The following is a 21,147-nucleotide window of genomic DNA, read 5'->3' on the forward strand; positions in this document are numbered from 1 at the left end:
GTTCTTGAACTCCAGAGGTCTATTTCTCTTAAGACCAACTACTACCATCTCTTTAACCATCTTGGTAGCCGTGGGATTCAGCCTTGAAGAAATCCCACGGTAGTGCGCTAAGGGGAAGTTGGGGTCTTGAAAGATGACATTGTCACTGTGGTGTTTACCCTCCTGGGCGTTTCCTAATGAAGATGACCTTAGAGTTCCCCGGCCTGGGGAGCATGTTGGTGTCAAGCTAGCAGCTCTCGGTTTTCTCATCTCCTAAAACACCTCAGAGCCAGTAAAGGTTTCTGCTGAAGCTGTGTTGTGAAATAAAGCAATTATCTGTTGCAGAGACAGCCTGTGTTGCAGAAGTATCCTCACTGAGTTTCAGCGCAGTCTGTCTGCCCTTTCTGTAGGCCAGAAGCCTTTTAAAAGGTCCCTGCGAGGTTCAGATGCTTTGAGTGAGACCAGCTCAGTCAGTCACATTGAAGACTTAGAAAAGGTGGAGCGCCTATCCAGTGGGCCGGAGCAGATCACCCTCGAGGCCAGCAGCACTGAGGGACACCCAGGGGCTCCCAGCCCTCAGCACACCGACCAGACCGAGGCCTTCCAGAAAGGGGTCCCACACCCAGAAGATGACCACTCACAGGTAGAAGGACCGGAGAGCTTAAGATGAGACTCATTGTGTGGTTTGAGACTGTACTGAGTATTGTTTCAGGGAAGATGAAGTTCTATTGGAAATGTGAACTGTGCCACATACTAATATAAATTACTGTTGTTTGTGCTTCACTGGGATTTTGGCACAAATATGTGCCTGAAAGGTAGGCTTTCTAGGAGGGGAGTCAGCTTGTCTAACTTCATGTACATGTAGAACCACGTTTGCTGTCCTACTACGACTTTTCCCTAAGTTACCATAAACACATTTTATTCACAAAAAACACTTCGAATTTCAAGTGTCTACCAGTAGCACCCTTGCTCTTTCTAAACATAAGCCTAAGTATATGAGGTTGCCCGTGGCAACTTTTTGGTAAAACAGCTTTTCATTAGCACTCTCCAGGTTCTCTGCAACACTTCACAGAGGCGAGACTGGCTGTATCCTTTGCTGTCGGTCTTTAGTACGATCAAGTTGCAATATACAGTGGGACTGCTAGACTTGAAGGAGAGCAGTGATTGTGGGATTGTAAATAAGAGCATCAGAAGCCCTCCCCAGCTACTGCTCTTCGTGGAGACTTAGTAAGGACTGTGTCTACTTGAGCTGTGGCAAGGCTGCTGTCTGGGACTGTCCTCTGCCACAAGGCCATTTCTCCCATTATATACCGTTTGTAAAGAGAAACTGTAAAGTCTCCTCCTGACCATATATTTTTAAATACTGGCAAAGCTTTTAAAATTGGCACACAAGTACAGACTGTGCTCATTTCTGTTTAGTATCTGAAAACCTGATAGATGCTACCCTTAAGAGCTTGCTCTTCCGTGTGCTACGTAGCACCCACCTGGTTAAAATCTGAAAACAAGTACCCCTTTGACCTGTCTCCCACTGAAGCTTCTACTGCCCTGGCAGCTCGCCTGGGCCCAACTCAGAAACAGGAGCCAGCAGAGCACTCTCTCACGCTGATCCAGCCGGGCACCCTGCTTAAGTCAGTAGAAGCTCGCTGGCACTGCCCGTTCCTACTTTTCCGAAGTACTGCGTCACTTTGTCGTAAGTAATGGCCCCTGTGCCTTCTTAATCCAGCAGTCAAGCTTTTGGGAGACCTGAAAATGGGAAAATTCACACTGGGTTTCTGGACTGTAGTATTGGAAGCCTTAGTTATAGTATATTAAGCCTATAATTATACTCTGATTTGATGGGATTTTTGACATTTACACTTGTCAAAATGCAGGGGGTTTTTTTTGGTGCAGATGATTAAACAGTCTTCCCTATTTGGTGCAATGAAGTATAGCAGATAAAATGGGGGAGGGGTAAATTATCACCTTCAAGAAAATTACATGTTTTTATATATATTTGGAATTGTTAAATTGGTTTTGCTGAAACATTTCACCCTTGAGATATTATTTGAATGTTGGTTTCAATAAAGGTTCTTGAAATTGTTACCAGTGAATTCAGTTTATAAATCTTATTACAAAAGACTTACCCACGTACCTGAAATAGCTGCCGATAGACCAGTGAGAGGTAGGTTCTCCTCTGCCCGTTATTACCGACCAAAAAAAAAACTGGACATCAATTTTTTAGTAAACCAAAAAATAAGTCTCAACAAATGCCTTTGCCAAAATAAGGTTTTATTTTGAAAGTCATTTGATGAAAGTCATTTGAAAGACACTGAGGAGGGAAGGAGGCCTAAGACCCAACAGATGTAGGATCCAGATCTGGATTCGTGCCAGCCCCACCAATGGTCTGTCAGGCCAAGAAGGTGCTTTCTTTGGTAATTCATGTTTTTTAACTTCCTGGAGAAGAGATCTTTTCCCACAAGCCATCTTCATTTTTTTTGTAGAGTAGGGCTTTATTTCCAGAAAACAGTGTGTGAGCTGGAGATGGGTGTTTTTTTAAAAACATCAAGGTAGATCTAATATGTTCAACAAAGTGGGGTGGCTCAGCCAGAGGCGAAGTGGAAAGATTCTGAAAACACAAGATGGTGGGCATTAGAGAAGCCAACCTTACTGTCCCCTGCTGTGATAAAGATGTCAAAGTATCTTTGTTCTTGGACACAAATATATATAATAAAATACGTTAAGAAATGAGGTGGCCTGAATTAGTAAGAAAAAAGTTGATTGCTTACTGCTTTACCCACACACATTTCCATCTAGGACTTGACATATCCCCATTTGATATACAAGTTAAATGGGGTCTGTCAATGGCATCCAAAAAGTTACTACCCGCCAAAGGGAAAGCAGCTATGACCTGGTCTAAACCCTTTTTTTCTTACAGATGGGGAAACCAGGGTGCAGAGATTTAAGACTTACCCAGCCTGTAAACTCTCACCTCTAGTATTTGCTTGTCATCTTGGTGCAACCAGAAATCCACATGTGGAAATGGTGTCCAGGAGTACGGTCCTATACGAAGTTGTTCTGTCTCTGCATCATAAATGCTAATCATCTAAAAAAGAACGTGTCAAGGATAGAATTTCAGGAATGTCACCCACTTTTCAAACCCTCCCAGTAACGCAAGCTCCAGTGTAGTCCTTTCATGCATTTATCTGCCTAAGCTTCTTAAAACCTGTCTCAAATAACAAAAGCTGCCAGCTACTGAACACGTCCAGTGTGTCTGCTTCTGCACACTGTGGGGCACGCACGACTGCTGAGCGCCAACAGCAGTCCCACAGGACGAGGGTGTTTTTTCCCATTTGGGGTGAAAACTTGAGGCTCAGAGAAACAAGGCCCATTTCCCAGGTTACGTGTCCAGTAAGCCTCAGAGCTGGACCTCAAACCCAGGCGCTTCTGACTAAAGTCTGTGTTCCCATTGCCTCATTATTTATACCCCAAACAACTGATCACCTTGCAATTTAAAAGCATACAGTGCCTGCTGCCCCATCAAAAGAAGAAGCTAATTTGCCAAATGATCCAGTCCCTGAATTCCCAAATTTGCCAATGGCAGCCTCAGCTTACCTAGCAATATTCACTTTGGTAACTGACACTGAAATATGTTCTGAATATCAACTAAACTAGGCCTGTTACACTCCTTGAGAAGTCCTAAAAATGTTAAAAGGGTTGGCTCCGAATCCAAACACATTTCCCAGTGAAAACATCAGCATTTCATAAATGAGAAGATTTCTTTGGGGTGGCCTGAATGTGATTTCCGTTTTTTCACACTTTGAGCATTTTTAAAGAATTCTTTCACCCATTCCTCAAATGGCATATAAACCTTGGGTTTTCAGTTTTCTAACTTTTAAAATTACAGTGTAATTTAATTAAGCACCCTAAGGGAATCAGACTTTAAATTAATTTGATCATTATTTTGGGTTAATTAAATTGTTCCAGCAAATTGCTCTTCAGTGACCCGGTCCAAAAGAATGCATAGTCCTGAGTGCAGAGGGGAGAAACCTCTCTCCTGCGTCCCAGTTCTCCTCTCTTTGTAGAACTTTATAGAAAAGCTCTTACAAAGTAACAGAAGTTTGTTCTCTTTGAATTCGGATGCTGGGGTTCACACTTACCTCCCACACCTTTTAGGCAGAGAACTGGAGCTGATGACCTAAAGATGTTCATTACTATTTTGAGACAGCAAGTGTGGGGAGGGGTATATGTATGTGCTGGTCCCTGATAATGTACGGCTATAAAGAAGCTGACAGCATAAACTTTTCTAAGATCCCAAAAACTTAAGGCCTTGACATTTGATGCCTTTTTTTTTTTAACCCCTTAACAAAGATGATTTGAAACTCACTGGTCCTCCTGCTAAAGTTCGCGCAGCACGAAGCTGCTCCTCCGGACCCCGATCTTGAAAGGATGCTCTGTAAATCTCTGCAGTCTTAATGTTGACAGCTGTGAGGGACAACAGGATGACTCTGAATTGACAAAAGACCAAAGCGGAAAGTCTGCACAGTCTTACATTTCTACCACCACTCCTAAGAGAAAGATAGGAAAGTGAACAGAATGGCTCCTAAGTATCTGGACTTCCCCCTCCCTGGAGGGGGAAAATGCAACCTTTACCCCAAGCATCTCGGTGAAAATCGCTGAGGCTCGAGCTGGACTCGGTGAGATTTTGTTCTAAACCAAGAGCTGCTTTCCACATGGGAGGCAGCCATTCCTTCAGTCGGACATGTAGCAAAACCTCTGGTCATCCCTACTGGTGTACGGCCAGGGGTGGCTGGGTGAACTGTGATCGTTCTGTTTGAATCTTCACAATTTAGTATTTTATACATACACGAAGTTACAGAGAATAGAACAGTGAACACTGTGTACCTACCACCCAGCTAAATCAATCAAGTATCACCGCTACAGCAGAAGCCCTCGGAAATAGAGCCGATTCCATGATGCCTTTTCCGCGGGAGTCCTGGGGCTGCCAAGCAGGGAGGATGGTTCTAGGTTTTCTCTAGCCTAAGAGTTTTACACTTTGGAGGATTTCTGTTCTCAAGCAAAACCTTCCTCAGTTCCTGATGTATAAAAGGATTCCAGTGCCTGCCTTCCTCCCCCAGAGCACTGGCAGGAGAAAAGCACGCCGGGCCTGGGGTGCTGGGGGGAGAGGGAAACAAAACCAGGCACTTTCCCAGCTCCTGGGAAGGGTGGGCATGGCCTGTCCTTTCTATTTGCTACCACGTTGCTTCTTCAAAGTCTTAAGAAGTGAATGTTATCTCAGTTTTATAGGTAAAGCTTAGAGAAGTTAAGCTACTTGCCCAAGGCCTCACAGCAGATGTTCGGAGTAGCTGGGATCTGAACCCAAAGCTGTCCCATCCTGACAGCAGTGGGGTCATTGGTTTGCTGAATTAGACTTTAACTGCACATGTGACCAAGACTCCAACCCACAAAAGATGCACACTACTTACCAATGCCATATATTACTGGAAAGTGGTTTTCGTTTTCTTCCCGGTCATTTAATTCTACAAAATAAGAATGTTTAAGATACACTTTTTAAAGAAATACCAAATGATTATTTTTACTTTGTATAATAAAGGCGAAGGAGGAGCTCCTCGATGCAGAAAGGGAGGAAAATTCCAGAAAATGAAAGGGATTGTGGCCCTGTTTCCCTACCCTGTCCCAAGGCAGGGGGGTTTATACTGAACAAACTGGCAGCTGCAGAATCGGTCCCCACTCCCACCCCACCTTCTCTGTGCACCCTGTCTGCCACACGGGTGGCAGCTCCTCTGAGATCCAGTGCCCTCCTTCCTGGTAGACGAGGGGGCTGCACTGGAACTGAGGCTCGGCAGATGGTGGACGAGGGCAAGGGGAAGGGGAAGGCCATCCCACCACAGGAAGAGCCGGAACAGATGGTGGCCAAGCAGTGACAGCAGTGTGTGCCGGTGCTTGGGCCCACTGCAAGACTGGGGACAAAACGGTCCTGAGACCCACATCTTTGCTTTGGGGCAAATGGCAGGACTTACCTGTCACACATAATGTCACTAAGTGAATGTCATCTTCTTGCCTGTCAAATTCACCTATGATGAGAATTTTAAGACCAGAAGTCAGAAAAGTTCCTCTAGTTACCAGAACAAACTGCTGAGCAAGCCAACGACAGGGAGGGACGGCAGCCAACTGAGTGTGCTCCGCCCTACAGCCCGCGCCCACACTGCCACAGCCTGGCCTATGGGGCCAGACACTAGGGAGCTGACACCACAGAACCCTGACCGCCAGGAGATGGCCACATTCTCAGCCTCAGGCCCGAAGGAGCCTGGGCTGAGCCTTCCCATTTTTCTCTTCATTCTGAGAGTTTTGCGGGGACCCATGGATTTATAAGATTTTTACTTTTCTCCTAACTAAACTGTTTTCCTGATTATCAGAATTACAAAAACAAAAATCTGGCCACTGTAACAGATCTGAAAAATACAAGAGAACATAAGGAAGTCGGTTTTTAATGTCCATAATCCTAACACTGTTAATAATTAGTGTATTTTCTTCCATATTTTTCTAAGCTCAGCAGAGCTGACTATAAAGACAATTTTATATCTTTTTTTTTTTTTTTTTTGAGATGGAGTCTTGCTCTGTCACCCAGGCTGGAGTGCAGTGGAGCGATCTCTGCTCATCGCAGTCTCCACCTCCCAGGTTCAAGCGATTTTCCTGCCTCAGCCTCCCAAGTAGCTGGGATTACAGACTTGCGCCACCATGCCTGGCTAATTTTTGTATTTTCAGTAGAGACAGATGGGGTTTCACCATGTTGGCCAGGCTGGTCTCGAACTCGTGACCTAAAGTGATCCACCTGCCTCGGCTGCCCAAAGTTCTGGGATTACAGGAATGAGCCACTGCGCCCAGTCGACAATTTTATATCCTGATTTGCTTGTGCATAGGTATTTTCCCATGTAATTCTCACCCTTTCATGTGTTATTTTTTAGCGACTACATAATTATTATTCTGATGACACCAGATTTCCTGTTATAAGTAATGTTCTACCGCTCATCTTCAGGTTCAAATCTCTATGCACATTTCAGATTATTTTCTTAGCATATATTTCCACAAGGGGAATTACTGGGTCAAAGGATGAACTATTTATTTATTTATTTATTTATTTATTTATTGAGACGAAGTCTCGCTCTGTCACCCAGGCTGGAGTGCAGTGGTGTGATCTCAGCTCACTGCAACCTCCACCTCCTAGATTCAAGCGATTCTCCTGCCTCAGCCTCCTGAATAGCTGGGATTACAGGCGTGCGCCACCATGCCCAGCTAATTTTTTTTTTTTTTTTTTGAGATGGAGTTTAGCTCTTGATGCCCATGCTGGAGTGCAATGGTGTGATCTCAGCTCACCGCAACCTATACCTCCCGGGTTCAAGCGGTTCTCCTGCCTCAGCCTCCCAAGTAGCTGGGATTACAGGCATGCACCACCATGCCTGGCTAATTTTGTATTTTTAGTAGAGACGGGGTTTCTCCATGTTGGTCAGGCTGGTCTTGAACTTCTGACCTCAAGTGATCGGCCTGCCTTGAACTCCCAAAGTGCTGGGATTACAGGCATGAGCCACCGCACCCGGCCTAATTTTTGTAATTTTAGTAGAGACAGAGTTTCACCATGTTGCCCAGGCTGGTGTCGAACTCCTGACCTTAGGTGATCCACCTGCCTTGGCCTCCCAAAGTGCTGGGATTACAGGCATGAGCCACCGTGCCCGGCCGGATATGAACCTTTTTTAAGAGTTATGGCGAGACCCTGTCTCCACAAAAAATTTAAAAATCAGCTGGGCATGGTGGCATGCACCTAGTCACAGCTACTTGGGAGGCTGAGGAGGGAGGATCACTTGAGCCCAGTAGGTTGAGGCTGCAGTGAGCCATGATGGCGCCACTGCACTACAGCCTGAGTGGCAGAGTGAGGCCTTCAGTCATGATGCCAAATTGCTTCCCAGACAGGCTGTACCATCATATGAGTAAGCTTGCTTCATGGCCTGGTGGTTAGTCAACACACGACAATGTTTTCTTTCTTTCTTTTTTGAAAATATTTGCTAATTTAGGCCAGGTGTGGTGACTCACACCTGTAATCCCAGCACTTTAAGAGGCCGAGGCAGGTGCATCACCAGGTCGGGAGTTCACAACCAGCCTGGCCAACATGGTGAAACCCCATTTCTACCAAAAATACAAAAATTAGGTGGGTGTGGTGGCGCACGCCTGTGATCCCAGCTACTCAGGAGGGTGAGGCAAGAGAATTGCTTGAACCCAGGAGGCAGAGCTTGCAGTGAGCCGAGATCATGCTACTGCACTCCAACTTGGGCAACAGAGCAAGACTACATCTCAAAAAAAGAAAAAAAAAGAAAAAATTTGCTAATAGGGAAAAAATGGTATCATCAGTGTTTTAATTTTCTGCAGATTAAAATGGACATTTTTGCCAGGAGGGAGGGTGGCTCTGCTTTCACACAATTCAGAGCACTTACTATTTTGGAATGTGTTCACTGCTGTTTTAGTAGAAAATCTTGTCCCCAGCCCTGCTACCCCTCCCTACACATGAGCTCCACGCATTCAGTCTTTCTGTGAAATTCCAAGCTGGGCAGTCTGTTTCTCTGTGCTGCTCCAAGTGGGTGTGCCCTTCTTGGGTTTTGTACCAATTGGGATTTTTAACCCAAGCAAATATGGGTACATATTTATGTCCAATTTGGGGGAAAGAAAAAAAAAATGAACTTACTAAGAAGTTGATGAGTGAGTTTTTGTGACAACTGCCTGTCGTCACTGAAGCCTCCAACAAGGTGTACTTCCAGCCTGGCAAAGAGATGAGACGGGTCAGAGGCCAGAAGAAGACACCGGTGCGTGCGCTGGTCTCACTTTGAACTTTCATTCTCAGTTTCCATGAACACTTGCTCTACAGCAGAGCTGCAGGTCATCTTCGTGCCACCGCAAAAGAAAGTATCGGCAGCACACTGCCAAGGCCAGTGGCGAGCTTCTGGGGACCCTGCCCAGGGGCCCTGATGACTGAGGGGATCCGTATCTGAACACAAATGTGATGCCGCCTCCATGCACCAGTGGGGAACTTTGCTCTGGAAGAGCACAGGCACAGGACAGGTGCAGTGGCTCACATCTGTAATCCTAGCACTTTGGGAGGCTGAGGTGGGCGGATCACTTGAGGTTAGGAGTCTTGAGACCAGCCTGGCCAACATGGTAAAACCCCATCTCTACTAAAAATACAAAAATTAGGCCGGGCGCAGTGGCTCACGCCTGTAATCCCAGCACTTTGGGAGGCTGAGGCGGGCAGATTGCTTGAGCTCAGGAGTTTGCAACCAGCCTGGGCAACAAGGTAAAACTCCATCTCTACTAAAATACAAAAAAAAATTAGCTGGACATTATGGCATGTGCCTGTAGTCCCAGCTACTTGGGAGGCTAAGGCAGGAGAACTGCTTGACCCTGGGAGGCAGAGGTTGCAGTGAGTCAAGATCGTGCCACTGCACTCCAGCTTGGGCTACAGAGTAAGACTCTATCTCAAAAAAAAAAAAAAAAAGAAAAGAAATTAGCCGGGCATGGTGGCACACCTGTAATCCCAGCTACTCGGGAAGCTGAGGCAGGAGAATTGCTTGAACCTGGGAGGCAGAGGTTGCAGTGAGCTGAGATCGCGCCACTGCACTCCAGCTCTGGGCAATCGAGCAAGACTCCGTCTCAGGGGGAAAAAATAAATAAGTAAGTTGGGCGTGGTGGTGGGCGTCTGTAATCCCGGCTACTCGGGAGGCTGAGGCAGGAGAATCACTTGGACCCAGGAGGCAGAGGTTGCAGTGAGCCAAGATTGCATCACTGCATGCCAGCCTGGGTGACAGAGCCAGACTCTGTCTCAAAAAAAAAAAAAAAAGGTTTGAGGCCAGGTGTGCTGGCATATACCTCTATTCCCAGCTACGCGGGAGGCAGAGGTGGAAGGAATGCTTCAGCCCAGAAGTTTGAGACTAGCCTGGGTGACAGGGTGAAACCCCGGCTCTAAAACAAAAACAAAACAAAACAAAAAGACTGGGCAACTGCCTGCTGGAAGCCCTCCTTAGGAGTCACACTGCGCATTGCACAGTGAAGCTCTTGAGAAGTCCTGCGACTGAAAAATCCAACTAACTTTCTTGAACCCAGTGTTTCCCACACTCATCTACTAACCCCCTTTTCCACAGCCCGTCAAGTGGGCGAATTCACGCTCGGCAAAGTGTTGCCAGACTTTACGCTGCCTTCTCAGACACAAAATCTTCCTAAGGGATGAACCAGAAGCTTGGATGTACCCAACATAGGGCACAGCCTCAAGGGGCCTCATAATAAACTCCAAGTAGTAGCAGTAAGGAGAGCTGCGACCACCATGGCTTTGCCACTGGGCCACCAGGTTTGCCTCTGACTCCCTGAGCGATCACAGTTCTACAACAGATCAGGAAGAGCTGACAAGCACGTTCTGAGAACCACGGAGCAGAGTGTGTGGCAACATAATGGCATTGATTACGTCCCCCTGCGGGGGCCAAGATGATAGGAAAATGAAAATACCATTTTGGGCCTGCATGGGTCACGTGTCCATGAAGCCAGCCCAGCCTTGGCACAGACCACAGAGGGAGAATTTAGAATCGACCAGTATTGACTAGCAAATCTCTCCCAGAGAACTCTCTCTTTCCTTTTTAGACTCCTAGGATTAAGCCTTCGTATATGATGGGAGTAGTTCACTCAATGGCTGCCTTAGACTTCCAGTAAAATGAGAGCAACACCTGCCAGGTCTCCACAAAGAGCAAGGAGAGGGGACAGGTGTGTGAACAGTGGTCTTGACAGCAGGCCTGTGTCGTCGGCCTCCACCTAGCTCCTGTGTGCTCCAGCACATCGAGCCTCAGTTGCCCGTCTCTGTCAAATGGAGGCAGCGGCTACTTTACTGCAGTGAGAGAGGATGAGGTGCTGTGGGGGCACCCAGGCTAGAGGCCGCTTCTTATCCAGCAATCCTTGGGGAAACTACCAATCTGCTGGAATTTAAAACTATACCCCTCAGCTGGGAGGATCACTTGAGCCCAAGAGTTTAAGACCGGCCTGGGCAACTTGGCAAAACCCTGTCTCTACCAAAAAAAAAAAAAAAAAAAAAAAAAAAGCTAGCTGGGTATGGTGGTGTACACCTGTGGTCCCAGCTACTTGGGAGGCTGAGGTCGGAGAATCACCTGAGTCCACAAAGTCAAGGCTGCAGTAAGCTGAGATCACACAACTGTGCTCCAGACAGGGCGACACAGCAAGACCCTATCTCAACAACAAAAAGAGAACAAGAAAAAAAACTACATGCCTCGCCCCCTAGCGGTCCCCACATCTTCCTGGCCTCGTTTTCTCCACAGCCCCGCCTCACCACCCAACACCCCATCTTGTGTACAGTCTCTCGGCTTCGGAATACAAACACCTTGGGCCGGGCTTTCTGTCTACTCTTCACTGCTGTGTCCCTAGAAACTACAAGGTGTAGGTGAGAGGAAGCATTTAACAAGCAACTGCGGGAGGAATGACTGCATGGAGAGCTACCACACCCGGGGGAGAGCAAAACGATGTGAAAATCGCAACCTCGACGTTCCTGAGACGACATCAAGTTCAAAGTCAAGCCTTCCATCTCAAATCCAGCACAGACTCCTTGCCTGTGCCCAGCACCCACTCATTCACTCAACCACTGCTGACGCAGTGCCCACGTCGTGCCAGGTTCTGTTCCAGGGGAACGAGGCAGACACGGCAGTGGTGGCATCCTGTGTTCCCCTAACAGCTTCCACAGCCACGTCCTGTATGCGACGGTTCCAAGATCTCAATTCACCTATGAGAGCAGCGTAGATCTCACCTTCCACATTGAGCGTGGTCAGAAAAGGATTTTATGGAGTTCATGATCAAGGGGACCTCAGCTTTGGTGTCGGTTCCGTCACAATGTGTCAAGCAGGTGGCCCCATTACCTGAAGAACAAGGGTGAAAGGACTCAAGTTATTCCCTGATGCGAGTGCAGTGCGCAGGCCGAGACTCCGCCTGTCCCTCCGGACCGCCTCATCTTTGAATATCCTGTAGGGGAAAAACGGACAGGTCTGTGCTCCCCAGCCAACCCATTCTGACCAGGACACCAGGGAGACACCATGCAGACCAGAAAAAAGGTAAGCGGAGTCCGCTTCCAACAAGACACCAGGAAACTCAACACGAGAAATTCAATGGTCCCAAAGGTTGGGTCAGTTTAAGTAATGGTTTCCTTCACCTCTCTCATCATACCTGTGTGCCTCAGGACCACAATGTGACAAGTAGTGGCATCATCAGAACCCAGAATGGAGATGGAGCCTGTTTAAAAAAGAAATAAAATAAAATATCCAATAGCCTTTTGGGATAACGCCCAATTCACTGCTTCCTAACCTACCATCCTTTGGGGAGGTCACTGCAAGCTCTCTTTGCTGAACATACAGAAGGCCCTGGGGTCCCACTTGTTGAACAGACTGACCTCTGAGAAGTCTGGCTCTTTCCTGTTTAATTAAAAAAAAAATAAAATAGTGATGTAAATTAGTGAGGATGGAAAAACTAAAGATGTGGAGAGAGCCAAAGTGGGCTCTGCGTGGGCAGCACGCTAGTGTGTGGGGAGTGTGTTAGTGGACAGAGAGGCTCAAAGAAAAAGGCAGCAGCCACGGTCATTCAGAACAATGCAGAGAAAACGATGCGGTTCTGCGCGGTGGTTTTTTTAACCTATGAAATCGGATGTCATAGTAACCTATGAAATGAGATGCAAAAATCCTTTATTATAGTTTTTTGTTTGTTTGTTTGTTTTTTAAAGACACAGGGCCTCACTATGTTGCCCAGGCTGGTCTTGAACTCCTGGGCTCAAGCAATCTTCCTGCCTTGGCCTCCCAAAGTGCTGGGATTACAGGCATGACCCACCACACCCAGCTATCACAGTTCTTTACTAAAGAGTGTGAGACTCTTAACAATTTTACCATTGTAAAGAGAATCAGATTACACAGGAATAGTGGATGGATGGCTCTGAAATCACATCCCCTCTTTTTTATTTTTTGAGACAGTCTCTCACTCTGTCACCCAAGCTGGAGTATAGTGGTACAATTTCAACTCACTGCAGCCTCCACCTCCCAGGCTCAAGCGATCCTACCACCTTAGCCTCCCAAATAGCTGGGACTACAGGCTTGCACCACCACACCTGGCTGAGTTTTATACTTTTTGTAGCGACGGGGTCTCCCTATGCTCCCCAGGCTGGTCTCAAACTCCTGGGCTCAAGCAATCCACCCACCCTGGCCTCCTAAAGTGCTGGGAGTACAGGCACACACCACCACACCTGGCTGATTTTTATACTTTTTGTAGAGATGAGGCCTCCCTATGCTGCCCAGGCTGGTCTCAAACTCCTGGGCTCAAGCAATCCACCCACCCTGGCCTCCCAAAGTGCTGGGAGTACAGGCACACACCGCCACACCTGGCTGAGTTTTATACTTTTTGTAGCGACGGGGTCTCCCTATGCTCCCCAGGCTGGTCTCAAACTCCTGGGCTCAAGCAATCCACCCACCCTGGCCTCCCAAAGTGCTGGGAGTACAGGCACACACCGCCACACCTGGCTGATTTTTATACTTTTTGTAGAGATGGGGCCTCCCTATGCTGCCCAGGCTGGTCTCAAACTCTTGGACTCAAGTGATCCACCCACCTTGGCCTCCTACAGTGCTGGGATTACATGCATAAGCCACCATACCTGGCCTCCGCTTTTTTACCTTAGTCCCTAACCTAGTAATTTCACTTCTGGAAATCTGTCCTAAGGAAATAACTCAAAATATGTTCATCCCTGTGTTATTTCTTTTATCTTATTTTTTTTTTTTGAGACAGAGTCTCGCTCTGTTGCCCAGGCTGGAGTGCAGTGGCGTGATCTCAGTTCACTGCAATCTCCACCTCCCAGGTTCAAGCGATTCTCGTGCCTCAGCCTCCCCAGTAGCTGGGATTACAGGTGTGCGCCACCATGCCCAGCTTTTCGTATTTTTAGTAGAAACTGGGTTTCGCCATGTTGGCCACACTGGTATCAAACTCCTGGCCTCAAGTGATCCACCTGCCTTGGCCTCCCAAGGTGCTGGGATTATAGCATGAGCCACCATGCCCAGCCCCCTGTGTAATTTGTAATGGCAAAAAGCTGGGAGCAGCAATGGAAAAGGTAAGTAAATTGGGCACAGAACCAAGTCACAGCCACTAACTGCACAGTCATGAGAAATGAAAACTATGGGAAAAAGAGTTTTGAAATGCTAATTGAAAAGCAAGATACAAAAGTATAAAAAATGTTTTAAAGAGCTATAAATGTGCCATAATACAACAATGATTAAATGCTTATACCCATAGAGAAAAATACTGGAAGGAAATTTCACCAGTACAACCATGGCTGTGCCAAAAAAGCAAACATGAGTGATTTCCTGTTGCTGTTGTCCTCTCTTCTCTCAATGTTCTATCACATAGTTATTGTTAGAATACAAAAACAAAATGGATAAGGCAAATTTACGAAAGGTATGTTAATACTAAGTGTCAATAATCTGAGTGTTTGTACACACTTATTTAGTAAGCTTGTAAAAAAAATTCAGTGGTTAAAAATTCAGTGGTTATTTAACAAAAACTTTTTCAAAATATTAAATTGATACAACACTACAATGTATCATAATTTCCTTCTTACTTGCAACAAACTCCTGGATGAACAAAATCTTCCTCAAATGTCTAGACAACGTATGTATGTATTGCCTACACAGGAAGACAGTTTTGCAGTCTTAGTCTTCTATCAGCTTCTTGCCATTTCGCATGACTGGTGCTAATTTAGGTTAGCGCTCACTTAATAAAACATAAGAGCAGCTGGGTGTGATGGCTCCCAACTGTAATTCCAGCACTTTGGGAGGCTGAGGAGGGAGGACTGCTTGAGCCTAAGAGTTCAAAACCAGCCTGGGCAACAAGGAAGATCCTGTCTCTACAAAAATTACAAAAATTAGCTGGGTGTGGTGGCATGTGCCTGTAGTCCCAGCTACTCTGGAGGCTCAGGTAGGAGGATCACTTGCAGCCAGGAGGTGGAGGCTGCAGCGAGCCATGATTGCACCACTGCACTCCAGCCTGGGTGACAGACCAAGACCCTGCCTCAAAAAAAAAAAAATTAAGATTAAACTAAAAGAAGAGATGTAATAAACATAATGATCAGCTTGATTACTTACATGGTGTTTTCTTCTGTTTATAAACTTCCATTAACTGGAAGCAAGGTATCAATGAAAATGAGACAAGCCCCTTAATTTAAGAAACAAACTAAAGATTAAATGAACTGCAGTGTAAAATTAGATGGGCAAGACAGCCTTGCTTGCTCCAGAAGTCAGTGAGAAACAGGTGTGACTGCTCTAAAACTCAGAACACCTGTACAGGTGACAGCCTCTCATTTTCTCATTCCACTTCTTGCCTCATCTTAGTTCAGAATAACAGGGGAGAATTCAGAATTCCCTCTTGATTACTCCTGAGATACTTACCTTCTGCTTTGTTCTTTGAGGGAAGGGAAGAGAAGGGAGGGCGCAAAGGCGAATTTTTAACACTCATGTTCACAATTGGGTCACCACTCAAAAGCAAAGCTATTTGTGAGAAATTAATTACTGCTTTCACAAAGACCAAAAATCATGTCTCTCTTCAACACAGCTCCTACGATTTCCCAAAGAAATAAAAGCAAAAATTATCAGAAGAGAGAATGCCAGAAAACTAAAACAGTAGACTGCTTTGCTCTATTTTTTAATTTCTTTTTTTAAACAGGGTCTTACTGTCTCCCAGGCTGGAGTGCAGCGGCGAGATCGTGGCTCACTGCAGCCTCTGGCCTCAAGCAATCCTCCCACCTCAGCCTCCCAAGGAGCTGGGAACTACAGGCATGAGCCGACACACCTGGCTAGTTTTTGTACTGTTTGTAGAGATGGGGTCTCCCTGTGTTGCCCAGGCTGGTCTCGAACTCCTGGCCTCAGGTGATCCTCCTGCTTCAGCCTCCTTTGCAGTAGCTGGAACCACAGGCGCACGCCACCACACTTGTGCTAGGATTATAGGCATGAGCCACTGTGCCCAGCCTCTACTTTATTTTTAATTTTTTTTTTTTTTTTTTTAGAGACAAGGCCTCACTCTGTTGCCCAGGCTGAAGTGCTGTGGCCAGATCATAGCTCACTGCAACCTCAAACTCCTGGGCTCAAGCAATCCTCCCACCTCAGCCTCCTTTGCAGTAGCTGGAACCACAGGCGCACGCCACCACACTTGGCTAATTTTTGCTCTTTTAAGTAGTAAAAAGAGTTTAGCCAAACTTCCCTTCTTTGGAAAACCACACAGTCCTACTTTATAAATTCATATGCAAGTAGTCCCAGTTTTCTTAACCTCTAATATGCTCTAGACACTAATATTTGCTTAAAAAAAAAAAAGCTTTTCCCTCAGTCCCTCATCCCTATTTCCCAGTTCCTATTCAATGGCAGTATTCTCTTAACCCAGTGACCAGCAGATTTTCTGAAAAAGGCCAGACAGTAAATATTTGGGGTTCTACAAGGCCGCAGTCTCTGTCACAATTGCTCAACTCTGCTGTTATTATGAAGTGAAAGCAGCCATAGACAATACAGATGTGGCTGTGTTCCAATAAAACTTTATTTATAGGTGACACCGAAGTTTTAATTTCAATACCATTTCCCATGTTACAAAATATTATTTTGATTTTTCTCAACCTTTGAGAAATATAAAGACCATTCTTGGCCTATAGGCTATACATAAGCAGGGTCCGGCCCATGAGCTGTGGCTTGTTGACCTGTGTCTTAGCCAATCACCTAGCTGTGACCTGGGGGATGATCATGTGACCCTCACCCCTGCTGTCCTGTTTATCAATTCTTCCTTTATAAACAGGAGAGGGGCATGAAGGTGATCTGTGAACTGTAAAGCACAATGCTATATAAGAAATTATGAGGCCCAACACACTGGCTCACGCCTGTAATCCCAGCACTTTGGAGGCCGAGGCGAGATGATCGCTTGAGGTCAGGAGTTTCAGACCAGCCTGGCCAACATGTTGAAGCCCCATCTCTACTAAAAATACAAAAATTAGCCGGGCATGGTGGCAGATGTCTGATACTCAGGAGGCTGTGGCAGGAGAATCACTTGAACCTGGGAGGCAGAGGTTGTAGTGAGCCAAGATCGTGCCATTGCACTCCAGCCTGGGTGACAGAGCAAGGCTCTGTCTCTCAAAAAAAAAATAAATAAATAAATAATAAAAGCAGGAACTAAGCTACGCTGCGAGCATCTTGTAGACTCTGTGGAACCGTATTACCCAAGATGTTGCAGGACTGGTTACCGAGTACCCAGTGACTGGTTAAGAGTGACTAAGGGAGGGCTCTAAACAGCTCTGGCCAAAGGAACTTCATGCTGGGATGGCCACCGTCTATATTCACACTGTCTCATTAGTAGCCATGCTGTCTGCTCGGCACTTGAAATGTGGCTACTGCAACTGAGGAACTGAGTTTCAATTTTATCTAATTTTAATTGATTTTTAAGTTAAATCCTAAGTAACCAGATGGCTCGTGGCTACTGTACTGAATAGCGCAGCTCCAGAGTCAAGGGCAGGCTGCCAGGGTTCCAATCCTGGCTTCACCACTCCCAGGATGTGGGGCCTGGGGCCAGTTTCCCAGCCTCTCTGTGCCCCACAGTCCTCATCTGTAAAATGGGAATAGCAGTAACTCTTGCTGTGGTGCTTGGCAGCTTCCACTGTATGACTTATTGTTATTATTTGCTAGTCATAGCTACACACAGGCTTCTAACTGTTGGTACTCCATACTCAGAACACATCGTTACATGAAAAAGACACATTATAAAACAACATATAGTAAGCTATCATTTTTTTAAAAAAAGTAAATTATATACAAAGAAAAACCTTCATTAGGACTTTCACCAAACTAAAGAATGGTTGTAGTCATACTTTTTTTTCTGTATTATTATATTTTGCTTTCCTACAAAGAGGACACCCTGTTTTATTATATAAAAATAATCCAGGCCAGGTGGAGTGGCTCACACCGGTAATCCCAGCACTTTGGGAGGCCGAGACGGGCAGATCACTTGAGGTCAGGAGTTCAAGAACAGCCTGGCCAACATGGTGAAAACCCGTCTCTACTAAAAATAAAAAAATTAGCTGGGTGTGGTGGCATGCACCTGTAATCCCAGCTACTTGGGAGGCTGAGGCAGGAGAATCGCTTGAACCTTGGGAGACAGAGGTTGCAGTGAGCCGAGATTGTGCCACAGCAATCCAGCCTGGGCCACAGAACAAAACTAAGTCTCAAAAAAACCAACCAACCAAACAAACAAACAAAAAACCCAACCTTTAATGTCTCCCTGTTGCTAAGTAGGTGAAAGGTCCATCTAAGCCCCTTGGTCATTTGGTCATCTGGGTACAATCCACCCCTGTAAGGTTACTTTCCATGCTTCCCCTCCTCACCCGGGCTGCTCCGGAGAAACTGGCCAGGACACCCACCCACTGGGCCCTTCCCCTCCTGCCCGCCGCGCCCCAGGCGGCTTGCCCAGCTGCGATGCCCTCACCCTTCTTCTCCTTTTCAAATCTCTCTCGTGCCTGCATCCTTCTTCACTTACACTGCCGCAAATCAAAGTGATCGCCCCCTTCCAAAGTTCCTGTAACACAAACTGGTCCCCAGTACACAGCCTTTCTAGGACATGTCTTCTTAAATAGGCCAAAACCTTCCTTCGAGAGAAGCAGCCCCGGTATGTCACCAAATCTCCCTCCACACTTAAGTGTGCAGCCCGGGACACCCATCTAACTTTCTATCACGGACATTTTCAAACAGACATAAAAGTAGAGCATCCCCTAAATTCTTCAGGCGGCTGAAATTATTTTTCCTTGGTGAGTCCTACTCTTGACTTCGCTAGCTAACAGGACAGTAACACAACGCAAGGATAAAGTGACACGCCACCACGCCTAGCTCGGTGCATGTTGGCTAACAGACGATGGTCGGTCCTGAAATGCAAGCTGAGAATCACACAGAGCTGTCTGCCTTCTCCCCGTCAGTAAGTCCTTGTCACCCTTCAGAACACGTTCAGGGGTCATTTTGTGACCTCATTTATGCAGCAAATCTTTACTGAGCGCCAATTCTATGCCAGGGACCGTCCTACACTCTGAGGATACAAAAGTGAGGACACTACTCTTATCTGCCTTCAGGAGGCTTACATTCTGGCGACAGACCAATAGAGAACAAACAAGCAAACAAAATAATCACAAACTGTACAGCTGTGACAGATGAAACCTCTAAATGCCTTCCCCAACCCAACACACTTGGTCAGGTTCCTGTGCTTCCCATCTCAGAGTGAAAGGGGACGCTTTTTCTTTATGGTACTTAACAGTTTATAGTATCTGAGCCTTCTTCATCAGAAACCATTCTCCCTTCTAGACTATAAACACTCCGAGGGCAGGGACAGTGATCAGTACGTTGCCCAACAGATATTAGGGGCTCGATATTTGACTCTCAAATCAAGGAACTGATTGATTCCCCTTTAACAGGATCTATGGCAAATAGGACGTCTGCCCCCGCCGCCACGCCCCGCTCTTTTTAAAACCTGAGAACCCCCTTGCCAACAGTCCCTGCATAAGCGTGGACAAGAGTTCAGAGATCTATTTGAGCACAAAAGCAGAAAAAACAAAAACAAAACCCGTGCATCAGGGCGTGGTCCTATGGCCCAGCTGCGGAAAGCAGGGCTCTCTCTCCCGGCTAAAAATAACTCGGCGCCCTACGCCCCGGGGGTAGGGGAGAGAGAGGAGGAAGGACTGGGGGTCCCCGCCAAGATCCCCCAGGCCAAACGCTCTCCGAAGCCCACCCTGGAATAACCTCCTGCTTCACGGGGACGCAAGGACGAAGCAACGTTCACCGCAGGCTGCGGGTCCCCGAAGGCGGGCGGCCGGATTTGCCTAAACGGACCCAGCCCTATGGGGGCTGCAGCCGCCCCGTCGGGGAATGGGGGTCCCGGCGTGTCCCCGAGCCGCAGTGCTGTGCGACCTTGGGCAAGTCACCTAACCTCTCTGGGCCCCCGTCCCCTCCCTTGTCAGAGAGTGGCCTCCGGGGCAGCCCGCTGAAGTCTAAAGAAGGCAAAAACTCCCCGACCCCTCAAGGGGAAGACGCGAGCCGACGGCCGGGGCTCCGGATGTGCCAACAGCGCCAAGTTTCAAGTCTGTGTCGCGTGAGGGGGGCGCTAGCCCGCCCTGCAGCTTCCCCTCGGGCCCGCCCCGAAGCCCCGCGCCGCGCCCCACTCACCTCCAAAGGCGGGTGGGCTCGGACGAGGTCCCCGGCTGACTGCGGCAGCCGCACTCGCCGCCCCTCGACGAGCAGCGGCATCGCGGAGGCGGCCGCCCAGGCAGGCCCAGGGAGGCGGCGGCCCCCCGCTTTGCAGCCCCGGGCCGCCCGCCGCCCCCGCCCCTCGGGCCGCGCGTCCCGCCTCGTCCTGCCCCGCCCCACCGCGGGCGCTGCCGGGAAGTGGAGTCCAGGCGGAGGCGGTGCCGGCCGAAGAGACTGGAGAAATCCAGGACATGGCCGCAAGGCCTCACGGGAAATGTAGTCCAAAGCCAGGAAGTGGCCCTGGAAGCAGCGCGCGGCCCGCCTCCTCCGCAAGGGGCGCTGGGAAGTGTAGTCCCAAAAGCGTGGGAGTGAAGGAGCGGGGAAAGGAGAGCTGCCAGGGAGCAGCTGCACCAGCCAAGAGAGCCTCCGGGCGAGTTCCTGGGGCGGGTTCTGGCTCCGACTGCTGCGCTTTAGGTCATTGCTCCACGCTTCCCAGGTGTGTGACCTTCCACAAGCTTGAGTTTGGGACCCTGCTGTGCAGCTCCGTAGGATTGCATTCAATGAGTAATAATAAACCTAATCAGGCGGGCACGGTGGCTCACGCCTGTAATCCCAGCACTTTGGGGGGCCGAGGCAGGAGGATCGCTTGAGGCCAGGAGTTCGAGACCAGCCTGGGCAACATAGTGAGACCCACCCTCCCCCATACCCTCGTCTCTGCCAAAAATTTAAAAATTAACTGGGCACGGTGGCATGCACCTGTGATCCCAGCCACTCTGTAGGCTGAGGCGGGAGGATCTCTTGACCCCAGGAGTGGGAGGCTGCAATGAGCTATGTTTGGGCACTGCAGAGGGACACTCTGTTT

General features: G+C 47.7%; 2 protein-coding genes across 28 annotated transcripts in view, besides 1 other annotated feature; one reads left to right on the plus strand and one right to left on the minus strand.

Annotated features, from left to right (window-relative positions):
• Positions 1-21,147, plus strand: part of PDXDC1 (pyridoxal dependent decarboxylase domain containing 1) — a 178,484-nt gene that overhangs the window by 60,892 nt on the left and 96,445 nt on the right. For 9 of the 22 annotated variants that reach the window (XM_017023059.2, XM_047433788.1, XM_006720865.3 and 6 more), the window contains one exon: positions 390-2,706. The exons of 9 other annotated variants lie outside the window; for them this stretch is intronic. In XM_017023059.2, coding sequence (XP_016878548.1) covers positions 390-649 — 260 coding nt within the window. In that variant the 3' untranslated portion in view covers positions 650-2,706. Of the gene's footprint in view, positions 1-324; positions 2,707-21,147 lie in introns of those variants that run through there. 4 more of the 22 variants (NM_001285447.1, NM_001285448.1, XM_017023063.2 and 1 more) reach the window with 2 other exon arrangements.
• On the minus strand, positions 2,231-20,448 carry NTAN1 (N-terminal asparagine amidase). 6 transcript variants are annotated; one of them, NM_173474.4, is made up of 10 exons: positions 20,265-20,448; positions 12,371-12,473; positions 12,229-12,294; positions 11,816-11,924; positions 8,708-8,781; positions 5,997-6,050; positions 5,442-5,495; positions 4,343-4,440; positions 2,948-3,061; positions 2,231-2,584 (listed from the first exon to the last, which is right to left on the minus strand). In NM_173474.4, the coding sequence occupies exons 1-10, from the start codon at positions 20,343-20,345 to the stop codon at positions 2,405-2,407; spliced, it is 933 nt and encodes a 310-aa protein (NP_775745.1). In that variant the 5' UTR covers positions 20,346-20,448; the 3' UTR covers positions 2,231-2,404. The 6 variants fall into 6 exon arrangements, with proteins under 6 accessions (NP_775745.1, XP_047289543.1, XP_047289544.1 ...); XM_047433587.1 differs by lacking the exon at positions 20,265-20,448 and adding an exon at positions 20,115-20,188; XM_047433588.1 differs by lacking the exon at positions 20,265-20,448 and adding an exon at positions 20,029-20,188.
• Positions 19,819-20,003: a silencer, noted in NCBI's record as "fragment chr16:15149302-15149486 (GRCh37/hg19 assembly coordinates)". NCBI's record gives its function as "represses an EF-1alpha promoter that drives an FKBP-Casp9 reporter gene in an ReSE screen in HepG2 liver carcinoma cells {active_cell/tissue: HepG2}" and the evidence as "EXISTENCE:reporter gene assay evidence [ECO:0000049][PMID:32094911]".

Source organism: Homo sapiens, chromosome 16 (genome assembly GCF_000001405.40).
Source record: "Homo sapiens chromosome 16, GRCh38.p14 Primary Assembly".
In the NCBI taxonomy this organism is placed as follows: domain Eukaryota; kingdom Metazoa; phylum Chordata; class Mammalia; order Primates; family Hominidae; genus Homo; species Homo sapiens.

Excerpts from the sequence above, each read along its gene's own strand:
- NTAN1 (NM_173474.4), bottom strand. The coding sequence starts at position 20,345 with ATGCCGCTGCTCGTCGAGGGGCGGCGAGTGCGGCTGCCGCAGTCAGCC. Across the intron at positions 12,474-20,264 it reads GAGCCCACCCGCCTTTGGAG|GAAAGAGCCAGACTTCTCAG; the intron begins GTGAGTGGGGCG and ends TTAATTAAACAG. Across the intron at positions 12,295-12,370 it reads AGTGACCTCCCCAAAGGATG|GCTCCATCTCCATTCTGGGT; the intron begins GTAGGTTAGGAA and ends TTTTTTAAACAG.